This window comes from Homo sapiens, chromosome 15 (genome assembly GCF_000001405.40).
Source record: "Homo sapiens chromosome 15, GRCh38.p14 Primary Assembly".
NCBI lineage: Eukaryota > Metazoa > Chordata > Mammalia > Primates > Hominidae > Homo > Homo sapiens.
In genome coordinates this window covers 51641662-51662593 of record NC_000015.10, presented here as the reverse complement: position 1 = coordinate 51662593, position 20932 = coordinate 51641662, and the positions used below count along the sequence as shown (strand labels likewise).

Sequence of the window (20932 nt, the reverse complement as noted above, 5' to 3'; positions counted from 1 at the left end):
GGTATAAAGATGTATTAGGCAGTTAATGAAAATTTTATGCTTTTTAAGGATTTTGTGATGTTTTGCTGTTTGTCAGCTTTTCAAAATCTGTATTGTGTTATCATTTCTTTTCTTATCAAACTAAATACTCAACTTTTCCAAAGAAGACATACATGGCCGGGTATGGTGGCTCACGCTTGTAATCCCAGCCCTTTCGGAGGCCAAAACAGCAGATCACTTGAGGTCAGGAGTTCAAGACCAGCCTGGCCAACATGGTGAAACCCTGTCTCTACTAAAAATACAGGACTGGGTGTGGTGGCTCACAACCTGTAATCCCAGCACTTTGGGAGGCCGAGGTGGGCGGATCATGAGGTCAGGAATTCGAGACCAGTCTGGCCAACATAGTGAAACCCCATCTCTACTAAAAATACAAAAAATTATCTGGGCATGGTGGCGGGTGCCTGTAATCCCAGCTACTTGGGAGGCTGAAGCAGCGGAATCGCTTGAACCCAGGAAGCAGAGGTTGCAGTGAGCTGAGATTGCGCCACTGCACTCCAGCCTGGGCGACAGTGTGAGATTCCGTCTCAAAAAAGAAAAAAAAATTAGCTGGGCATGGTGGTGCAAGCCTGTAATCTCAGCTACTTGGGAGGCTGAGGCAAGGGAATTGCTTGAACCTGGGAGGCTGAGATTGCAGGGAGCCGAGATCGTGCCACTGTACTCCAGCCTGGGTGACAGAGCGTGACTCTGTCTCAAAAAAAACAAACCATGATATCAAAGAGATATCTGCATTCCACCATTCATTGCAGTACTGTTCATAATTGCCAATATATGGAAACAACCTAAGTGTCCATCAATGGATGAATAGATAGATAAAGGAAATGTGGCATATATACACAATGGAATACTACTCACCCTTAAGAAAGCAAAAAATTCTGTCATTTATGACAACACAGATGAACCTAGAGGATGTTGTGTTTCCCACCTTGGGAGCCTTTGCACAAACAAGCTCTGACTGGAAGTCTCTTTCATAGGCTCCTTGCCCGACTGGCATCTACCTTCAGGTCTCAGCTAAAATGACACCTCTAAAAAAGACCTTCCCTAATCCCACCTTAAAGTCATTTTTCTCTAGTCTCTATCACATCACCCTATTTTCTTCACTTATCATGATCTATAGCTATATTTTATATCTAAGCGCTTCAGTAAGCATCTCTAAGGTATAAAGACATTTTCTTATGTCCTGTCAAAGAACAAGACCACTATTCAACATCTGAAACACAAAGCACAAAGCTGTATTTATCACTTACTTAAGTAAATGAGTGGGATGCTGGTCAGGGACAATCTATCTGTGTAGAACTGATTGACGACCTTGTATTGGGTTTTTAAAAAGAGTGTAGTTCAGAGATTGGTGCATTTTTAGAAGTGGGATTAGGTTTTCATCAGCTGTAGACACAAGGTCACTCAGATGAGCCTGTTTCTGATGGCTTGGCATTCAGAAACATGTTCATTGGAATCAGTCTCAATGGACTGACTTTCAGAAGCAGGAGATTCACAAATGGATTAAATTGCAAATTGGGCCAAGGCAAATTGTCATTGATTGATTAAATGGATTTAAAACCAATTCTGTGTAAATTAGTACAACCTCCATGGAAAACAGTATGGAGATTTCTCAAAGAACTAAAAACAGAGCCACCATTTGACCCAGCAATCTCACTGTTGGGTATCTATCCAAAGGAAAATATCATTATATCAAAAATATACCTGCACTCGTATATTTATCACAGCACTATTCACAATAGCAAAGACATGGAATCAACCTAGGTGCCCATCAATAGAGGATTGGATCAACAAAATATGGTACACATACACAATGGAATACTATTTCGTCATAAAAAAGAATGAAATTCTGTCATTTGCAGCAATGTGGATGGAACCAGAGGCCATTATCTTAAGTGAAACAACTCAGACACAGAAAGACAAATATCGCATGTTCTCACCTATAAGTGGAAGCTAAGTAATGTGTACATATAAAAGCAGAATGTGGAATGATGGGCAATGGGGATTTGAGGGCTGGGAAGATGGGAAGATGGGTGGGAGGTTGCTTGGTAGGTACAATGTGTGTTGCTCCAGTGATGGATGCACTGAAGGCCTTGACTTCACCACAATGCAATATATCAATGTAGCAAAATTGCACATATACCTCATGAATATACACTATATATGCACACACAGACACACAAATACATATATATGCTTATATATGTGTATATGTATATATAAATAGTGCTTGCAGTTATTTTTACCATGATTACAGAACTATAATTTATTTATTAAGCAGGTTAAAAAGCAGTTGTAGTGGCTACTTGTTACAATAGCTTTGGTACAATCAGTCTTTTCCTAGAAATGTCAGGACTTTTTCTATTCTCTACCATTATCATTATCATTACCATTATCAGTGGTTCTGGTCATAAACCATTGTCTGTCTGTGAAGAAATGTGTAAAGAAACTGAGAATAGCCATTTAGAAGTAAGTACAACAATTTCACAGGATAATTTTATGTCTGTTGACTCCAACAATAGTAAAAACAATGACTCTTGTTTGTTGTGCATCTTTTATTTACTTCATTTTTCTACTAATTAATTTTTATTTTATTTCACAACTGTAACTTTCTGCAATGGATTGGGGAAAAACTGTTCCTTCACCACAGGTGGAGAAACACTGACCCAATGCCCACTACATACTGAAATTTTCCCAATTATTCCCAATAATGTTATTTTTAGTTGGTTTGCTCAAACCATTTGATTATTGTATCTCTTAAATTCTTGTACTCTAGAACAGTCTTCCCTTCCCCGCTTCTTTCTCTCATGCCATTGACTTGTAAAGAAACCAGGCCAAGAAGGAGGATATTGAATGTTTCCAACATAAAGAAAGGATAAATATTTGAGATGATGGATATGCTAATTACCGTAATCTGATTGCTATGAATTATTTTTATCAAAACATCACTATATACCCCATGAATATGCACAATTATTATTTTCTAATAATTTTTTTAAAGACACCAGGTCAATTGTCTTGTAAAGTTACCTTCTCCTTAAAAACCCCATTCTGGTTTGTTTGATTGCTTTCTCAATATTTTTTCCCAGCCTGTGGCTTGCTTTTTCATTTTCTTTTCTCTTGAAAAACAGATTTTAATTTTGATAGTCTAGTTTACTGATTTTTGTCTTTTATAGTTTGTGACTTTTGAGTTATATTTAAGGTAGCCATAGGCCAAAAAAAATCCTCCAACCTCACACCATATGCTAAAACTAACTCAAAATGAATAATAGGCCTAAATGTAAAAGCTAAAACTATAAAAAATCCAGAAGAAAACATAAGAAAAAATCTTGCCCTTGTATTTGGCAAAGATTTCCCCAGGTTATTTGGATGAGCTGCCAGGATTGAGAACAACTAATTCATTTCTGATAGCAACCCAGGTCAATGTGACTTAAGAGGAAGTTTCTTAAGTTTCAGTGTTTCTTAAATATTAATGTATATGTTACTGGTGGAGGGTCTTGACGAGTCATCTAGGTTCTTGGTGTTTTGAACAAGGAATTGGACAAAACACACAAACAAAGCAACAAAAAACCAGATGAACGAAAGAAGCAATGAAAGCACAGATGTATTGAAAGGAAAGTACACTCCACAGAGTGGGAGTGGCTTAAGCAAGAAGCTCAAGAGCACCTGTTGCAAAATCTTCTGGGGTTTCATTACTCTTTAGAGGTTTCCTATTGGTTACACCCTATGTAAATGAAGACATGGCCCACAAGCAATCAGAGGCTGAAGTGGAGTTATGCCCTGTGAAAATGAAGACTTGGCCTGCGACCAATCAGAGGCTGAAGTGAAGGTTCCCTGTCTCCAGACCTTATTCTCTTGCTTCATATATACATATCACCTGTTTTTCTAAAAAAAACAAAACCAAACTATTTAGTAAGTCTTGGAATTGCCTTACCGCTGGTCTTTATTTTTATTTATTTATTTACTTTTTTGAGACAGTCTCCCTCTATTGTCCAGGCTGGAGTGCAGTGGTGCAATCTCAGCTCACGGCAACCTACACCTCCCCGCTCAAGTGATTCTCATGCCTAAGCCTCCCGAGTAGCTGGGACTGTAGATGCGTGCCACCATGCCCAGCTAATTTTTATATTTTTTTGTAGAGACGGGGTTTTGCCATGTTTCCCAGGCTGGTTTCGAACTCCTGGCCTTAAGTGATCTGCCTGCCTCAGCCTCCCAAAGTGCTGAGATTAGAGGGGTGAGCCACCCCACCCAGATTTCTCTGGTCTTTTTGTTATGTGGAGACATTATTTAAACTTTAAGCCACTTTTAGTTGGGTGTACAACACTCATCTGTAAGCATCTTAACAGTCATGTTTTTATAATCTCATTTTTAATGTCTACAAATAGCTCACTGAGTGGGTGTATCACACTTCTTTTTAAGAAAAGAATCACTTTCCTTCATAGACTTCTAGGAGGGACTTTACTGAATCAAAGAGTATAATAATTTTATGATTTCTTGTTTATATTGCCAAATTTCTTTCCAAAGAGTTTGTATCAAAAACTGTCCACTCTCTTGATATGAAATACAAATCAATTTAGGTTAAAATATCAATTAAAAGGGAAAATAAATAAAACCATTTATTCATAAATAACATGTGTGGGAGACCAGAATACACCACCACAAATATGCCTCTGGCATAAGGATTGTTGAGCTAAAGGTAATTAAGAAACAGTAGGTGCAGGAAAACTTTCTATCATCCCTATATTTCCATAGAAGCAGAACATACCTTGACAAAGACAAGAGGTATGACCCCATGCTCCACACACATACACTTTCTACCAGAGAGAACAAAAGTTAACCATTGAAAACAACTGTAGACCCTTATGGGTCTGGAGACGGCATCAGAGAGCTCTACATTAACAAGCATTACTGGCCGGGCCCGGTGGCTCACGCCTGTAATCCCAGCACTTTGGGAGGCTGAGGCAGGTGGATCACGAGGTCAGGAAATCGAGGCCAGCCTGGCTAACATGGTGAAACCCTGTCTCTACTAAAAATACAAAAAAATTAGCCGGGTGCAGTGGTGGGCGCCTGTAGTTCCAGCTACTCAGGAGGCTGAGGCAGGAGAATGGCGTGAACCCGGGAGGCAGAGTTTGCAGTGAGCCGAGATAGCACCACTGCACTCCAGCCTGGGTGATAGAGCGAGACTCTGTCAAAAAAAAAAAAAAAAGTATTACTAACTGGCCTTTTTATTTGCCTTCTCACAAGTTACCTCCCCTAGAGACTCAAAGTCCTTTTCCTATGTCTTGTCATTTCTCCAAAAATTTGCCATTCTTTGTTGAAAATAGTATATAGGCTGGAATTCAAAGCTAGTTCTTTGAGAACCACTCATTTCCTGGGTCTCTCCCAGGTATATATGAAATGTACTTGTTAATAAACATCTGTTTGCTTTTCTCTTGTTAATCTTTTATTTATTTATTTACTTATTTTGACACGAAGTCTTGCTCTTTCGCCCAGGCAGGCTGGAGTGCAGTGGCGTGATCTGGGCTCACTGCAACCTCCGCCTCCTGGGTTCAAGCAGTTCTCCTGCCTCAGCTTCCCAAGTAGCTGGGATTACAGGCACACGCCACCACGTCTGGCTAATTTTTGTATTTTTGGTAGAGATGGGGTTTCACTATGTTGGCCAGGCTGGTCTCGAACTCCTGATCTCAGGTGATCCACCCGCTTCAGCTTCCCAAAATGCTAGGATTACAGGCGTGATCCACTATGTCTGGCCATTGTTAATCTGTCTTTTGTTACGGGGGTCCATTTCAACTAAGAATTTATGACAGTTGAGTAAAAAATTATTTTTCTTCTCCTACACATGATTGTGTATGTAGAAAAGCCAACAGAGTCTAGTTGTTGTTTTTTTTTTTTTTTTTGAGACGGAGTCTCACTCTGTCGCCCAGGCTCCAGGCTGGAATTCAGTGGCGTGATCTCAGCTCACTGCAAGCTCTGCCTCCCAGGTTCAAGCAATTCTCCTGCCTCAGCCTTCCAAGTAGCTGGGACTACAGGTGCCCGCCACCATGCCTGGCTACTTTTTTGTATTTTTAGTAGAGACAGGGTTTCACCATGTTGGCCAGGATGGTCTTGAGCTCCTGGCCTCGTGATCCACCCGCCTCGGTCTCCCAAAGTGCTGGGATTACAGGTGTGAGCCACCGCGCCTGGCCTAGAGTCAAGTTTTTTAACGGAATAAATGAATTTAGCAAAATTGCAGAATACAAAATAAATACCTGAAACTTTCCTATATTTCTAGAGACAGTCAGTCATTCGTATCCATGGGATCTGCACGCACAGGCTAAACCACCCATAGATTGAAAATCTTCAGAAACAAAATTCTACAACGTTCCAAAAGCAAAACTGGAATTTGCCATGTGCTGAGTGCTATGCTGAATCACGCAAATGAAGTGATTTATAGGCATTGTATTCTGTATTATAAGTAACCTAGAGATGATTTAAAGTATACAGGAGGATGTGAGTAGGTTATATTCAAATACTATGTCATTTTGAGAGACAGGACTAGCTGGATTTCCTAGGCCAACTAAGAATCCCTAAGCCTAGCTGGGAAGGTGACCGCTTCCACCTTTAAACACGTGGCTTGCAACTTAGCTCACACCCAACCAGTCAGGTAGGAAAAAGAGCTCACTAAAATGCTAATTAGGCTAAACAGGAAGTAAAGAAATAGCCAATCATCTATCGCCTGAGAACACAGTGGGCGGGACAATAATCGGGGGATATAAACCCAGGCATTCCAGCCAGCAACTGCTACCCTCTTTGGGTCCCCTCCATTTGTATGCGAGCTCTGTTTTCACTCTATTTCACTCTATTAAATCTCCCAACTGCACTCTTCTGGTCTGTGTTTGTTACGGCTGGAGCTGAGCTTTCGCTCGCCGTCCACCATTGCTGTTTGCCGCCGCCACAGACCTGCCGCTGACTTCCATCCCTCCGGATCCGGCAGGGTGTCTGCTGTGCTCCTGATCCAGTGAGGCGCCCCTTGCCGCTCCCGATTGGGCTAACGGCTTGAGATTGCTCCTGCACGGCTAAGTGCCCAGGTTCGTCCTTATCGAGCTGAACACTAGTCACTGGGTTCCATGGTTCTCTTCCGTGACCCACGGCTTCTAATAGAGCTGTAACACTCACTGCATGGCTCAAGATTCCATTCCTTGGAATCCGTGAGGCCAAGAACCCCAGGTCAGAGAACATGAGGCTTGCCACCATCTTGGAAGTGGCCCACTGCCATCTTGGGAGCTCTGGGAGCAAGGACCCCCCGGTAACAGTTTTATATAAAGGACTTTAACATCCATGAATTTTGGTAACTGTAGGGGATGGGGGTGGTCTGGAACCAATCTCAAATGGATACTGAAGTATGACTATACTTGTAACAATTAGAAAATAAATAATTTTAAAAATACAGAATTTTTAAAATACAATTTACAAGAGCCTTAAAAAACATCAGATGGGCCGGGCACAGTGGTTTGTGCCTGTAATCCCAGCACTTTGGGAGACTAAGGCAGGTGGATCACTTGAGGTCAGGAGTTTGAGACCAGCCTGGCCAACATGGTGAAAACCCATCTCTGCTAAAAATAGAAAAATTAGCCAGGTGTGATGGTGCATGCCTGTAATCCCAGCTACTTGGGAGGCTGAGGCAGGGGAATCACTTAAACCCAGGAGGCTGAGGTTGCAGTGAGCCGAGAGAGTGCCAGGGCATTCCAGCCTGGGCGATAGAGTGAGGCTCTGTCTCAAAACAAAACAAAACAGAACAAAACAAAAACCCAAAACCAACCAACCAAACAAAAAAAATTCAAATGTCCAGGGATATATCTAACAAAATGTGCAAGATCCTTATGCTGAAACTGTAACATCGCTGAAATTTTAAGAGACTTTAATAAATGGAGAGAAAGGGAATGTTCATATATTGGAAGGCTCAACATTGTTAAGATTTCCATTCTCCCCACATTGACCTATGGATTTCACACAGCCCTAATCAAAATCCCCGCAAGGTCTTTTGAAGAAATTGACAAGCTGATTCTTAAATTTGCATACGAAAATGCAAAGGAATTGAAGAGCCAAAACCATTTTGAAAAAGAATAGAGTTGGATTTCTTATACCACTTGAGTCTGAAAGTTACTGTGAGTTACATATGTAAAGTTATGTAATCAACTAGATGAATATCAATGGAGCAGAATAAAGAATCTAGCAATAGGCTCAAGGTGCCAAGTCCATTCAATAGAGAAGGAAAGTCATTTTTGTTTGTTTGTTTGTTTTTTCAAGACGGAGTCTCACTCCGTCACCCAGGCTGGAGTGCAATGGTGCAATCTCAGCTCACTGCATCCTCCACCTCCTGGGTTCAAGTGATTCTCCTGCCTCGGCCTCCCCAGTAGCCGGGACTACAGGCGCTCGCTGCTACGTCCGGCTAATTTTTTGTATTTTAGTAGAGACAGGGTTTCACTGTGTTGCCCAGGCTGGTTGCAAACTCCTGAGTTCAGGCAGTCCACCCCCATTGGCCTCCCAAAGTGCTGGAATTACAGGTGTGAGCCACCGCACCTGGCCAGGAAAGTCATTTTAACAAATGGCACTGAAGATTTAATTTTTTGATACTGAATATAAACAAATTTTGATAGTCACTCATTCCATATACAAAAAATAGTTCAAGATGGATAATAGGCCACATAGCAAAGGCTGAAATCATAAAGCTTTTAGAATTTCACTATTCCTGTAGTAGCTGCTAGCCACATGTGGGCTGTGGAGCACTTGAAATGTGATTAATCCAAATTGAGATGGGCTGAATTTCAAAGACTCGGTGTGAAAGAAAAACTATGCAAAAATCTGATTAATCATTTTTTGCATTGATTACATATTGAAATGATAATATGTTGGAAACACTTGGTTTAATTAAAGTCAATTTCAGTCTTTTTTTTTTTGCTTTTTTTAAATAATGGGGCTACTACCACATTTTAAATTATGTATGTTGAATCTATAGGCAATGACACTCCAACAGCAATGAGCATGTCTAATGCAGAAATCTTGGTTTCTAACACCATCCTTCAATAAAAGGAATCAAGGATCCTTGGAGAAGCAGGTGATTGTAAGACGGGCAGAAGATATACAAGACGACCCTGCAGCATCTTGTAGTGCCTGAAAGTAAGAAAGTGTTCAAAACAAATCTACATTGATGGAGGCATGAAAGCCAACTGAAAGAGCTCCCAATGGTCAAAACTGGAAAGATTCGAGGGAGAAATGACTGCCATAAGATAACCAGCAGTGTTTGCCACACCGGGTAATAACGTGGATTATGTTTCAGATGGAACTTCTTTCACCTGCCCTCCCCTGGCCACTTGCTATCTGAGCATTTATTGAGCACCCATTTTGTGTTAGTGCTGAGAATATGATGTTGAACAAAATATGGTCCTTGACCTCAGGAGTCATGGTGCTCTCATTAGGTGGTCTGGTGGAGAGAGGTGTTGCTAACGTAAGGAGGCAGGAAAAATTCAAGAAGTGAGGGAGTTAGGGGTAAGTATGTCCAAGGCAGTGAAAAAGGGATTATTTAGGTATTAATGAGGCTTTAGGGCCTTCAAAATCAGGAACCGAATCACCTTTCCTCAGCATGTATATATATGTATATATATACATATATATATACACACATATATATATATTCCCCAGCATGTATATATGTGTGTGTGTATATATATATACGTGTATATATATATATATATATACGTATATATATATATGATAGTCCTGAGGTGGTAATGATACTGATGGGCTGGGGTAGGTCCACAAACACTAGTGGGACCTTGACCTCAACCGGTATCCAGGCTCTTGACACCATCACAAGAAGAAATTCAGGGATGAGTCAGAAAATAGTGAAAAGATGAAGATTTATTGCAAAGCGAAAAGTACACACTCAAGAAAGGGGAGTGCAGGTGTACTCAAGAGAGTTGCACACAAGGTTTTCGGGTACTATCTTTATGGGTTTCTGTAACCAAGGGGTGACATATTCATGAAGATTCCTGGAAAAAGGTGAAGATTTCTCAAAACTGTGGTGCCACCCACTTTTGCACTAAATAATGGGTGTTCCTGGAAGTGTCATGGTGCTGGTGGGCATGTGATTACGTTAATGAGCATATAATGAGGTTCTAGGAGAAACCTACGTCAAATCCAGTGACATGTTGGGTTCAGTCAGTCTTAGCCATCTTGGTCCACACCCTGTTTCTCAGGGTCTTATCAGCCCATAGCCTCTGCAGCTATTTCAACAGTTGCCTTTTGCTAGTCATATGAAATTGTTGCCTGGAATTTTCTAATCTCCTACGGCCACCTTATATTATTCCTCTCTCAGTAGTATAACTCTGACTATAAAATTAAGATCTAATCATCTACAGCACTCATAGACATTATCTTTAAACTAATTCCACAGGCAAAAGGCTAATTACAGGGTTTTTGTAGCCTTTTGTTGGTATATAGAACTCTATATGCTGTATGTTTTTATGGAGGCTGCCTGGAATTTGCTGTATTGTTTCTGAGGCTGTCCTTTACACTTCAAAAATTTCTTATGAGCATTTATGTCAAGATTAAGGAAGCCAAGGTAATAGAAATAGGCCAACACTTGGTGAATTATTGGAAAGTTTATATAGGCAGCTACATACATAAGATTAGCCATCCTTGGAAGATTGAACTCATTTCATTTACTCTCTCCCCAATAATAATGAAGATTCTACAATGGAAACAGGAGTAAATATGTAATGTATTTTTTATTGATATTAAAATACATGAGATAATATTATTTGTATTTCCAGACTTGAGGCCATCCTCTGTATCTCCACCCCTGACCACTCCCTTGACCACATACATATCCAGTTACCTAGAGCACTGGATGACCGGCAAGCATCTCAAGTCTCAAATGCAACTACTCAAGCTCCTTCCTCCCTCACTCATGCTGCATCTCAAGAAGATGTAAGCCAATTATCCAGAGGCACTGAGGGTCCTATGCGACTGCACCATCATATCCCACAACCTGCTATTCACTGTTATTCTGCTTGTCCAGTCCATCTCCCTCCTCTCAATCTCCCCTCTGCCCTAGTTCAGGCTGCCATCATTTATTCGTTTATTTGTTCAGTAAGTATTTCTTGAGTACATATCATGTGCCATTCATATTCTGTGCCTCAAATAGAATAAGCAGTGAACAAAACACTCAGTGAACGTCACTGAACAAAACTGACACAAAACCTGCCTTCACAGAGTTTGCATTCAGGTGGAAAGGGAAATAAAACAGATAAGCAAAATACACATTGCTAGAAAGTTATGGGTGTATAGGAGAAAAAATAAAGCAGAGAAGAAGGACATGACATTTAGAGGTGGGGTTGAAAGGTCTCAATAAGGAGGTGACTTTTGTGTAGACTTGAGAAGGAAATGAGGGGGCTAGCGTTGTGGATATCTGGGGCAAAGCCTCCAGAGGAAAGAGTATGGTAAAAGTCCCTGGAGTGAGATTATGCCTGGCCTGTTCTAGGCATGGCAAAGGGGCCAGTGGGAATGGAGTAAAGTGAGCAAGGAGGAAAGGAGTAGAGAGGGATGGAGTGAAGTCAGAGAGCTAATAAAGACAAGATGCCGTAGGTCATTTTCTCAGTGAATGGGAAGCAAAGCCATCAACTGAGAATTGAAGTGATGTTCCTGTAAACAATTTAGTACCTTTGCCTTTTTTGTTTGTTTGTTTTGTTTTTCTTGGTACCTTTGCATTTTGAGGCACATTTTTATACCTATTTGTTGGAGATTCACCTAGGGATAGAAATGTGGGGTTGTATAGGATGTAAATGGAATCAAATAGATTTTTTAGGATTAAATTTTTTCTGATTTTAAAAGTAGGAAATACAAAAGTGTTTAAAGAAGTAAATATCACCTGTGACCACCTCTCCCAGAAATAAGTATATTTTATAAGTATACTTTAATATATTTTATTTAAGTATATTAATTTTTCAATGTGATTAATGCCAAAAGGAGAGTATAAGCCAATTTTATGTATAGCTTGATTACAATTATAAAAATGTGCTTAGAGAAAAAAGGATCAGAAAGGAGCATAACAATATGCTAACGGGTTATGTTAGTAAAAATATATGTGACTTCCTTTCTCTATTTCTAAAAATGTCTGCAATCTTATAATATTCTTAATGAGAAAAATTAATTTTACAAGCTTTTTAAAAATAGCTTTTTTTTTTTTTGTTTTTAAACAAAGATATTTGTTTTGGCAGTCCTCAAAGGAAACTTCTAGAATTACTATACAACTGTATTGACCTAGCGTTTGCCAGAATAATTCTTTTTTTCATTCATTGTGACATGGTACACCACTTTATAGGACTGGATTTGCATAGAAAATACTATTGAAATAACAGAAGGTACCTATTACTGCCTGTATATTCTGCCAACGTTTAGGAAATACTGCCACCAGGTGGATGGTAGGAATTTAGCTTTTGTCCCTTGATTTCATGTATCCTTCCTGTTGCCTTAATTCTGTACAGAAAGTAAGAACAGACAAAACTGACTCTCTGTGTGTGTGTATGTGTGTGTGTGTGTTTAAACACTGGGGGCTTTGGTTGAACCAGGAGGGTAAGCTCAGACAGTTGCTTATGTATGTGTGAACCAAGGAGGAAAGATGAAATCCCAACTAAGAGGACAGCTGAAGTGGAAATCTTGGACAGACTGGATTTCACATCCAGCACACTGAGTAATGCATGCTGATTCTAATTTTAGGGTCTATCCTAAAGAAATAATTATGGATACTTTAAGATTTAACACTGATGCTGCAAAGACTTAACATTGGTGTTTATTGCAGTGTTTATTTTTACTAAGTAAAACAAGAATCTAAATATCTTGCGATTGAGGATTAATTGAATAAATAATGATACGTCTCTGCAATTAACCACTCTTTGACCATTAAAATGAGGTTTAAAAGTATGTAATGACAATGAATGATGTTTATGATATACTTTTGAGTGAAAAATGGAGATAACAAAGTAGTATATGCCACACACAGCTAAAAAACTATAAGGGTATACATAAAAATATTAGCAATAACAATAGTAATTAACATATATTCAGTGCTTACTATGTGCCAGAGAAATTAAAATACCTATCTTGGACCTGCCTTGTCCTCCCTTCTCTAATTTAGTCCTTCTAGTGCTTCTCACTGCTTTTATATCAGTTTCTATTGGGCTCTAGACCCTTTGGAAAATCTTGTAGAGCATATGGGCCCCAGAGAGACATTTAAAAACACATAATATGAAATACAAAGCATTAAACAGGAAATCAATTACATTGGAATACAGTTATTAAAATATCAAAAAATCAAATTTGTGATATAGTTTTATATATACACATACATCTTTTTTTATTATTATACTTTAAGTTCTAGGGTAGATGTGCACAACGTGCAGGTTTGTTTACATGTGCCATGTTGGTTTGCTGCACCCATCAACTCATCATTTACATTAGGTATTTCTCCTAATGCTGTCCCTCCCCCAGCCCCCCATCCCCCAACAGGCCCCAGTGTGTGATGTTCCCCACCCTGTGTCCAAGTGTTCTTATTGTTCAGTTCCCACCTATGAGTGAGAACATGCAACGTTTGGTTTTCTGTCTTTGTGATAGTTTGCTGGGAATGATGGTTTCCAGCTTCATCCATGTCCCTGCAAAGGACATGAACTCGTCCTTTTTTATAGCTGCATAGTATTCCATGGTGTATATGTGCCACATTTTTCTTAATCCAGCCTATCATTGATGGACATTTGGGTTAGTTCCAAGTTTTTGCTATTGTGAATAGTGCCGCAATAAACATACGTGTGCATGTGTCTTTATAGTAGCATGATTTATAATCCTATAGGTATATACCTATACCTATAGGTATAGGTATTGGTATAGGTATTGGTATAGGTATAGGTACAGGTATACCTATACCAATCCCAGTAATGGGATTGCTGGGTCAAATGGTATTTGTAGTTCTAGATCCTTCAGGAATTGCCACACTGTCTTCCACAATGGTTGAACTAATTTATACTCCCACAAACAGTGTAAAAGTGTTCCTATTTCTCCACATCCTCTCCAGCATCTGTTGTTTCCTGACTTTTTAATGATCGCCATTCTAACTGGCATGAGATGGTATCTCATTGTGGTTTTGATTTGCATTTCTCTGATGACCAGTGATGATGAGCATTTTTCCATGTGTCTGTTGGCTGCATAAATGTCTTCTTTTGAGAAGTGTCTGTTCATACCCTTTGCCCACTTTTTGATGGGGTTGTTTGTTTTCTTCTTGTAAATTTGTTTAAGTTCTTTGTAGATTCTGGATATTAGCTCTTTGTCAGATGGTAGATTGCAAAAATTTTCTCCCATTCTGTAGGTTGCCTGTTCACTCTGAATACACATACATACTTCTTTATTAATTCATTTAATAACAAGCTATAGTACAAGGTCTAATAATTTCTGAATAGATCTATTCATAAATGATATTTTAAGATAATTACAATAATCATTATCTATAAAAAAGTGTGCAGAGGCTCACGCCTGTAATCCCAACACTTTGGGAGGCCGAAGCAGGCAGTTCCCTTAAGGTCAGGAGTTTGAGACCAGCCTGTCCAACATGGTAAAACCCCGTCTCTACTAAAAATACAAAAAAATTAGGCGGGCGTAGTGGCGGGCGCCTGTAATCCCAGCTATTCTGGAGGCTGAGGCATAAGAATCGCTTGAACCCAGGAGGCAGAGGTTGCAGTGAGCTGAGATCACGCCACTGCACTCCAGCCTGGGCGATAGAGCAAGACTCCATCTCAAAAAAAAAAAAAAAGTGATATTCATTGGTGACAAAGTCACAGGTACTGCTAAATACAATTGTGTTTTGTTGTCTATATTTATGACTGAAATGTTAAATTGCAGCTGATGCTTAGAGAAAATAGATGTATTTTTTTCCCCATCCAGCCATGTTCCAGCCAGCTGTCACACTATGTCATTCCTTTTTCAAACCCCTTAAATGGCTTTCTGTGTCACTTAAGTCAAAATCCTTACCCCAAGCAGATCTGGTCTGAAGTTCCCTTTCTGATTTCACTTCCTGCCATTTCCTACTAGTCTCACCCTCTCTCCCTGCCATCCAGCCACACTGGCTTCCTTCCAGTTCGTTGATCACAAGCCAACCACAGGCCTGACTCAGGGCCTTTACTCTTGCCATTATCTATTCCAGGGCGTTTTCCCCTTAGATAATGGTAGGGCTTGCTCCCTTATATCAGGGGTCAACAATCATTTTGCATAAAGAGCCAGATGGTAAATATTTTAGGCTTTGTGGGCCATATGGTCTCAAATCTGCTGTGATAATGCAAGAGCAGCCATGGAGAATAAGTAAATAAATGAGTGCGGATGTGTCCCAATAAAACTTTATTTTTGGATGCTGAAATTTGAATTGCATATAATTTTCCCATGTCAAAAAGTATTATTCTCTAAAAAATTTTTTTGTTAACTATTTTAAAAATATAAAAACCATTCTTAGCTCTCGAGCCACACAAAAACAGGTGTGCAGTCAAATTTGGCCCACTGTTCATAGTTTGCTGAACCCTGCCTTACATCGTTCAGGTCTTTGTTCAAATGTCATCTGTTTGGAGAGGTCTGCTTTGGCCACTTCCTCCCAAAAGCCCTTCCCTTCTCTTCTATTACTTTACCTGGCTTTATTTTTCTTCATTGAACTTCCTGGGCCCTAACATATTATATTTTTATTTGTTCATTTTCTGTATTCCTTCTAGAATATAAGTACCATGAGGCAGGGCCTTAGTCGTTTTCCTTGCTGCTATACCCCCATCAGCATGACAGTGCCCAGCACAAAGTAAATGCTCAAATACTTGTTGAATGAATGAATTAGTACTGGTCATCTCGCTGTGAATATACTTACCAGAATTATAAGTTTTCTTAAACTGTGGTGGCCAGAATTGAAAATTGTTTCCCAGTTACAGTCTGAATCAATGCAGAGTAGGATTTAAAAATGCTTATTTTAATGCAGTCATTTTTATAAACCTGTGTATTCAAATTGAAATTTTGGCAAACCAGATTACTCCAAAACTGTACTTGTGAGTGATGTTTTCTGAACCTATATCTAGTTCTCAATGTCTATATTGTTGGTTTGATTTTGTGCTTCAGTCTGCTTTAAATTCTTATAAATTTTGATTCTGTTAGCTTTCACATCAGCTATTCTGGCCATCTATAGATTTGACAATTATACTGTGTCTTCAGCCACACCTTTCAGACCAAGGCAGAGAGGAGGACTGACTCTTGTGACTCCTCCAGGTGGCCAGAACACCATTAATCCAGACATCTGGGATAAATCCTGCAGGTCACCCATTAGGCCAGGGTAATATCGAAGTCGTTCGTGCAAGAACTGGAAATGGAGGTACAGGGGGATTTCAGATAATTCAACTAAAACCCAAAAGCTGTGATATGCAAGCATATCCTTAAAAAGGGAAACGCCTAAGATTAATATTATCATGTCTAAATAAAATGGTGCTTTGTTGCAATGTCTATCACCCAAATTCATAAACTATATTCATACAATGGAGTACTGCTTAGCAGTAAAAAAAAAAACAAACAAACAAAATGCTGATACACGTAACAATGTAAATGAATTTCAAAAATATAGTGTAGAGTATAAGAAGCTAGACACAAAAGGATGCATAGTGTAAAATCCCCTGTATGTAAAGCTCAAGATCAGGTAAAACTAATCCCTGGTGGTAGAAACGAGAAAGCTATTGAGGTGGAGGTATTGGCCAGAAAGGGGGATGAGGAACTTTTCTGGAATGATTGATGGTTATACCAGTATATATATATTTATTTGTGAGAATTCTCCAAGCTGTTCACTAAAGATTTGTGTTTCTTTCTATATGTAAAATACATTTCAATATAGTATGACTTTTCAATAAAAAGTGGCTGGTTTTAGTCATTAGTTTCTTGTGGGCTTTGTAAGCATGAGGAAATTAAATTTCTGAGTTGGCCAGGCTGAAGTTAGAGTCTCATCAATGGTAAATTTGCCAAGGGATCTGCCGTTTTATAGAGGCCTGTGGGGGCCTTGGTCAGCATAATATTTTGGTGTGATAATCAGTAGGGATTTTGTCATATTTTTCACGGAAAGAAAATAAAAGATGTCTATGGCATTAGTTTTGCTGTTGAAAACTAGACTAAATAAATTTGACATGACTTGCTCTTGGTGAATCCTTGTTGGCTCCTGATAAATATATTTCTTTTTTAAATTGCCACAAATTGTGTTTTATTCTCCATTAAAGATTTTTCCAGGTTTACTAGTTTGTAGTTTTTGGTACCCACAACATTCTTTTTAGAAAATTAATACATTATTTGCCTGAATTAAACCTTCTGGCATTTCTTATTAAGAGGCAAGTTGGAGTCATAAAATGTATTTACTTTTTCATGGAATTGAAAGGAAACGTCCTAGGCAAGTTCATTAAGAATCCAAAGAAGATCTCTTCTTTTGAGGTAAGCAATCAAGAACAGTGATCAAGTAGTTTTGCTTCCCATTTAGATCTGGTTTGAATCTTAGCTCACAGATGTGTCACCTTAGGCAAGTTTCTTAACCTTTCCAAACCCCATTTTTTCTAATCTGTAAGAGGGATTGCTATGGCAATTACACAGGGAAATTTTTGTAAAGCACTTAACACAGCACCCGACACATAGTAGCTATCATCATCAACATTATCAGCAGTCTCATCCTCCTCATCTTCATTAACAGGAGCCAGCCCCTCTTGGATTGATTTTCCAGGGCAGTATTTTGTGAACCTCAGTAGAGTGCTCCATGGGCACTTGATTTTTTTCTGCCGACTGACTGACTGAGTTCAGAAGGATCAATTCACACATCAAATTCACAAGAAACTGCTTATTTATTCATTTGTAATGACAAAAGACAGCTGCATCAATATATTCTTTCCTTACACATATAATAGGGAAGCCAAATTATCTATGAAGGTGGTTTGATTAGTACAGGCTCATTGTTCCTTCCACTGGAAACACCCCTTTCCTCTTAGGCACCAAACTAGGTTACAGCTATAGACATGCCAATAGAATTGTGCTCACTGGAGATGACACACAGGCACCCATTTAGACCTTACTGCTGACTGTAAATGATCTTTGTGGGTAGATAATTAATCTTACCCATTACATGTTCATTTTTATCATTTCATTTTTGGAACCTCTATCTTGTGGGCTTTTGGGGGTACATCATTGTCTTTAATTGTTCATACTTCGTCTTTGACTAACTTCAACAATTTCTTCCTTAAAAACTAGCTCTGAAATACCATGCTTTATAGTTGGATAAGAAGGTAGTGAAAGGTGAGAAGTGGGGGGTTGAAGGATATAACTGTACTGTCTTTCTGTTCAAAATATCTTTCTGTGGCCGGGCATGGTGGCTCACGCCTCTAATCCCAGCACTTTGGGAGGCCAAGGCAGGTGGATCACCTGACATAAGGAGGTTGAGACCAGCCTGGCCAACGTGGTGAAACCCCCTCTCTACTAAAAATACAAAAATTAGCTGGTTTTGGTGGTGCATACCTGTAATGCCAACTATTCGGGAGGCTGAGGCAGGAGGATCACTTGAACTCAGGAGGCTGAGGTTGCAGTGAGCCAAGATCATGCCACTGCACGGTAACAGAGCAAGACTCCGTCTAAAAAAAAAAAAAAAAAAAGCCCAAAAAACAAAAACAAAAAAACCCAAAATGTCTTTGTGTATTTATATTATTTAAAAAATCATCAAAAATGTTCCAACTACATAGAGGTAATGTTAGAAAATAGGTAATAGCCGGGTGCAGTGGCTCACGCCTGTAATCCCAGCACTTTGGGAGACTGAGGCAGGTGGATCACCTGACATCAGGAGTTAGAGACCATCCTGACCAACATGGTGAAACCCCATCTCCACTAAAAATACAAAAATTAGCTGGGCATGGTGGAATGCACCCGTAATTCCAACTGCTGGGAAGGCTGAGGCAGGAGAATCACCTGAGCCCGGGAGGCAAAGGTTGCAGTCAGCCGAGATTACATCATTGCACTCCAGCCTGGGCAACAAGAGCAAGACTCTGTCTCAAAAAAAAAAAAAAAAGTAAATAGGTGATAATGGCTACTTTTTTTTTTTCTTTTTGACATGGAGTCTCGCTCTGTCGCCCAGGCTGGAGTGCAGTGACGCGATCTCAGCTCACTGCAAGCTCCATCTCCCAGGTTCACACTATTCTCCTGCCTCAGCCTCCCGAGTAGCTGGGACTACAGGTGCATTCCACTATGCCCAGCTAATTTTTGTATTTTTAGTAGAGACGGGGTTTCACCATGTTGGTCAGGCTGGTCTCGAACTCCTGACCTCAGGTGATCCACCTGCCTCGGTCTCCCAAAGTACTGGGATTACAGGCATGAGCCACCGCACCCGGCTATAATGGCTACTTTTATTGAGCAACCATTGTGTGCCAGATCCTAAGAATAGCCATATATTATTACATTTAGTCCTTACACTCAGAAATGTAGTTTTATTCTCATTATTCAGATGAAAACACTGAAGATCAGAGAAATAAACTGCCTAAGATTACACAGTGAGTAGCTGGCAGAAGCAGCGTCTGAACAGCCCTCTGATTCTACAGCCTGTGCCCTTTCCTCCACATTACATTCAGGAAACAAGTCCTGTCCTGTTTTTAAGATCATTGGTTCTTCAACATCTTAGTTTTGAATCACAGAAAAGTAGAGCATTAGGTAGACAGGATTTCATAAGAAAAACAATTTAATAAGATAAACAAATTATTGGACAAGATCATAGTACAGGATAAGATCTGATCTTGCTTTGGGAAGTTTGAGAACAGTCATTACACTACTTATGGTGACTGGGTTCAAGCCCGGAGATGTCTTAAATAAGTGAGTAAGTCAACGTCATTGATGTCCCAAATGTCTATGGATCTCACTCTCTGATAACAGTTTCCAGACTTTTGAACTTCAGAGATATAAATAAATAACAAAGTGGGAAAAGGAATAAAAATAACCTTGCAAACTTTTTTATTTTGCCCAGTAAGGATGTTTTTAAAAAAGTCACACTACTCTGTACTATGACCTTTGTTTCCATAAAGATTAAACATTTTAGCGCTCCTCTCCTCCCAAACTGGAAAAATATAATTTGAAAACAAAGGATTGTTCCTCCAAAGAAAGAATAGTTGGTAACCTTAGTCTCCATATATATTCCCCATTGTCATTATTTTTGTCATATTTGCAGTAAAGGGGAGAACTCTGTCTTTTAGTGGTTCTGGTATTGGATAAATGAACTTACTTCATAGTTCCCAGAAATAATCTTTGTGTAAATTACAACTAAATCAGGAAAATGGAACAAGGTAAAGATCATATAGAAAGCTAATTGATCTTGCTTTGCATATAGACCTTCAAGTTTAATTTTTAAAAGTTGTTGAGTGACATTTCCATTTCTGGTATTTATTAAAAATTTGCAGGGTAAAGCATAAAGTTTTAATCTGTTAATCATTTGTTTAAGGTGGTAACTAATCTTTGAGAGCTTGAGGCCCAATGTATTTGTATTTCGACATTAGCCTGAGCCAGGGGTAAGTCAAGAACTAGCAGGAACTTCTCAATTTACAAATCCTAAGAGAAGAAAACAAGGAAGTTTCATTGCTTCAACCAAAAATGTTTACTAAGTGCTTATTTTAGTTTTGGACATAGGCACTAATAATATAGTTTATGGAGCCACTAGACCCCGAGCTCTTTAAGAGCAGACTCTGTGTAGTCCCAGCTGCTAACAGGTCCCAAGCCAAGTGAGGAGCACAAATAAAGTTTGTTGAATGAATGCGAGAATAAATAACAAGCACTTCTAAAAATCACAACAAAGACAGGATGA

The 20932-nt window shown here is 39.4% G+C and overlaps 1 long non-coding RNA gene across 2 annotated transcripts in view, besides 1 other annotated feature; it reads left to right on the top strand.

Annotated features, from left to right (window-relative positions):
- The first annotated feature begins 6887 nt into the window (after positions 1 to 6887).
- The window catches only part of LOC105370816 (uncharacterized), a 31023-nt gene continuing 16978 nt past the window's right edge, over positions 6888 to 20932 (top strand). For both annotated transcript variants that reach the window (XR_932236.3, XR_932234.3), the window contains exons 1-2: positions 6888 to 7097; positions 9026 to 9186. This is a non-coding gene — a long non-coding RNA (uncharacterized LOC105370816). The remainder of the gene's footprint in view (positions 7098 to 9025; positions 9187 to 20932) is intronic.
- Positions 9908 to 10488: a transcriptional cis regulatory region, noted in NCBI's record as "candidate enhancer chr15.1149 targeted for multiplex CRISPR interference". NCBI's record gives its function as "positively regulates expression of the SCG3 and TMOD2 genes with high confidence and the LYSMD2 gene with lower confidence in K562 cells {active_cell/tissue: K562}" and the evidence as "EXISTENCE:mutant phenotype evidence [ECO:0000015][PMID:30612741]".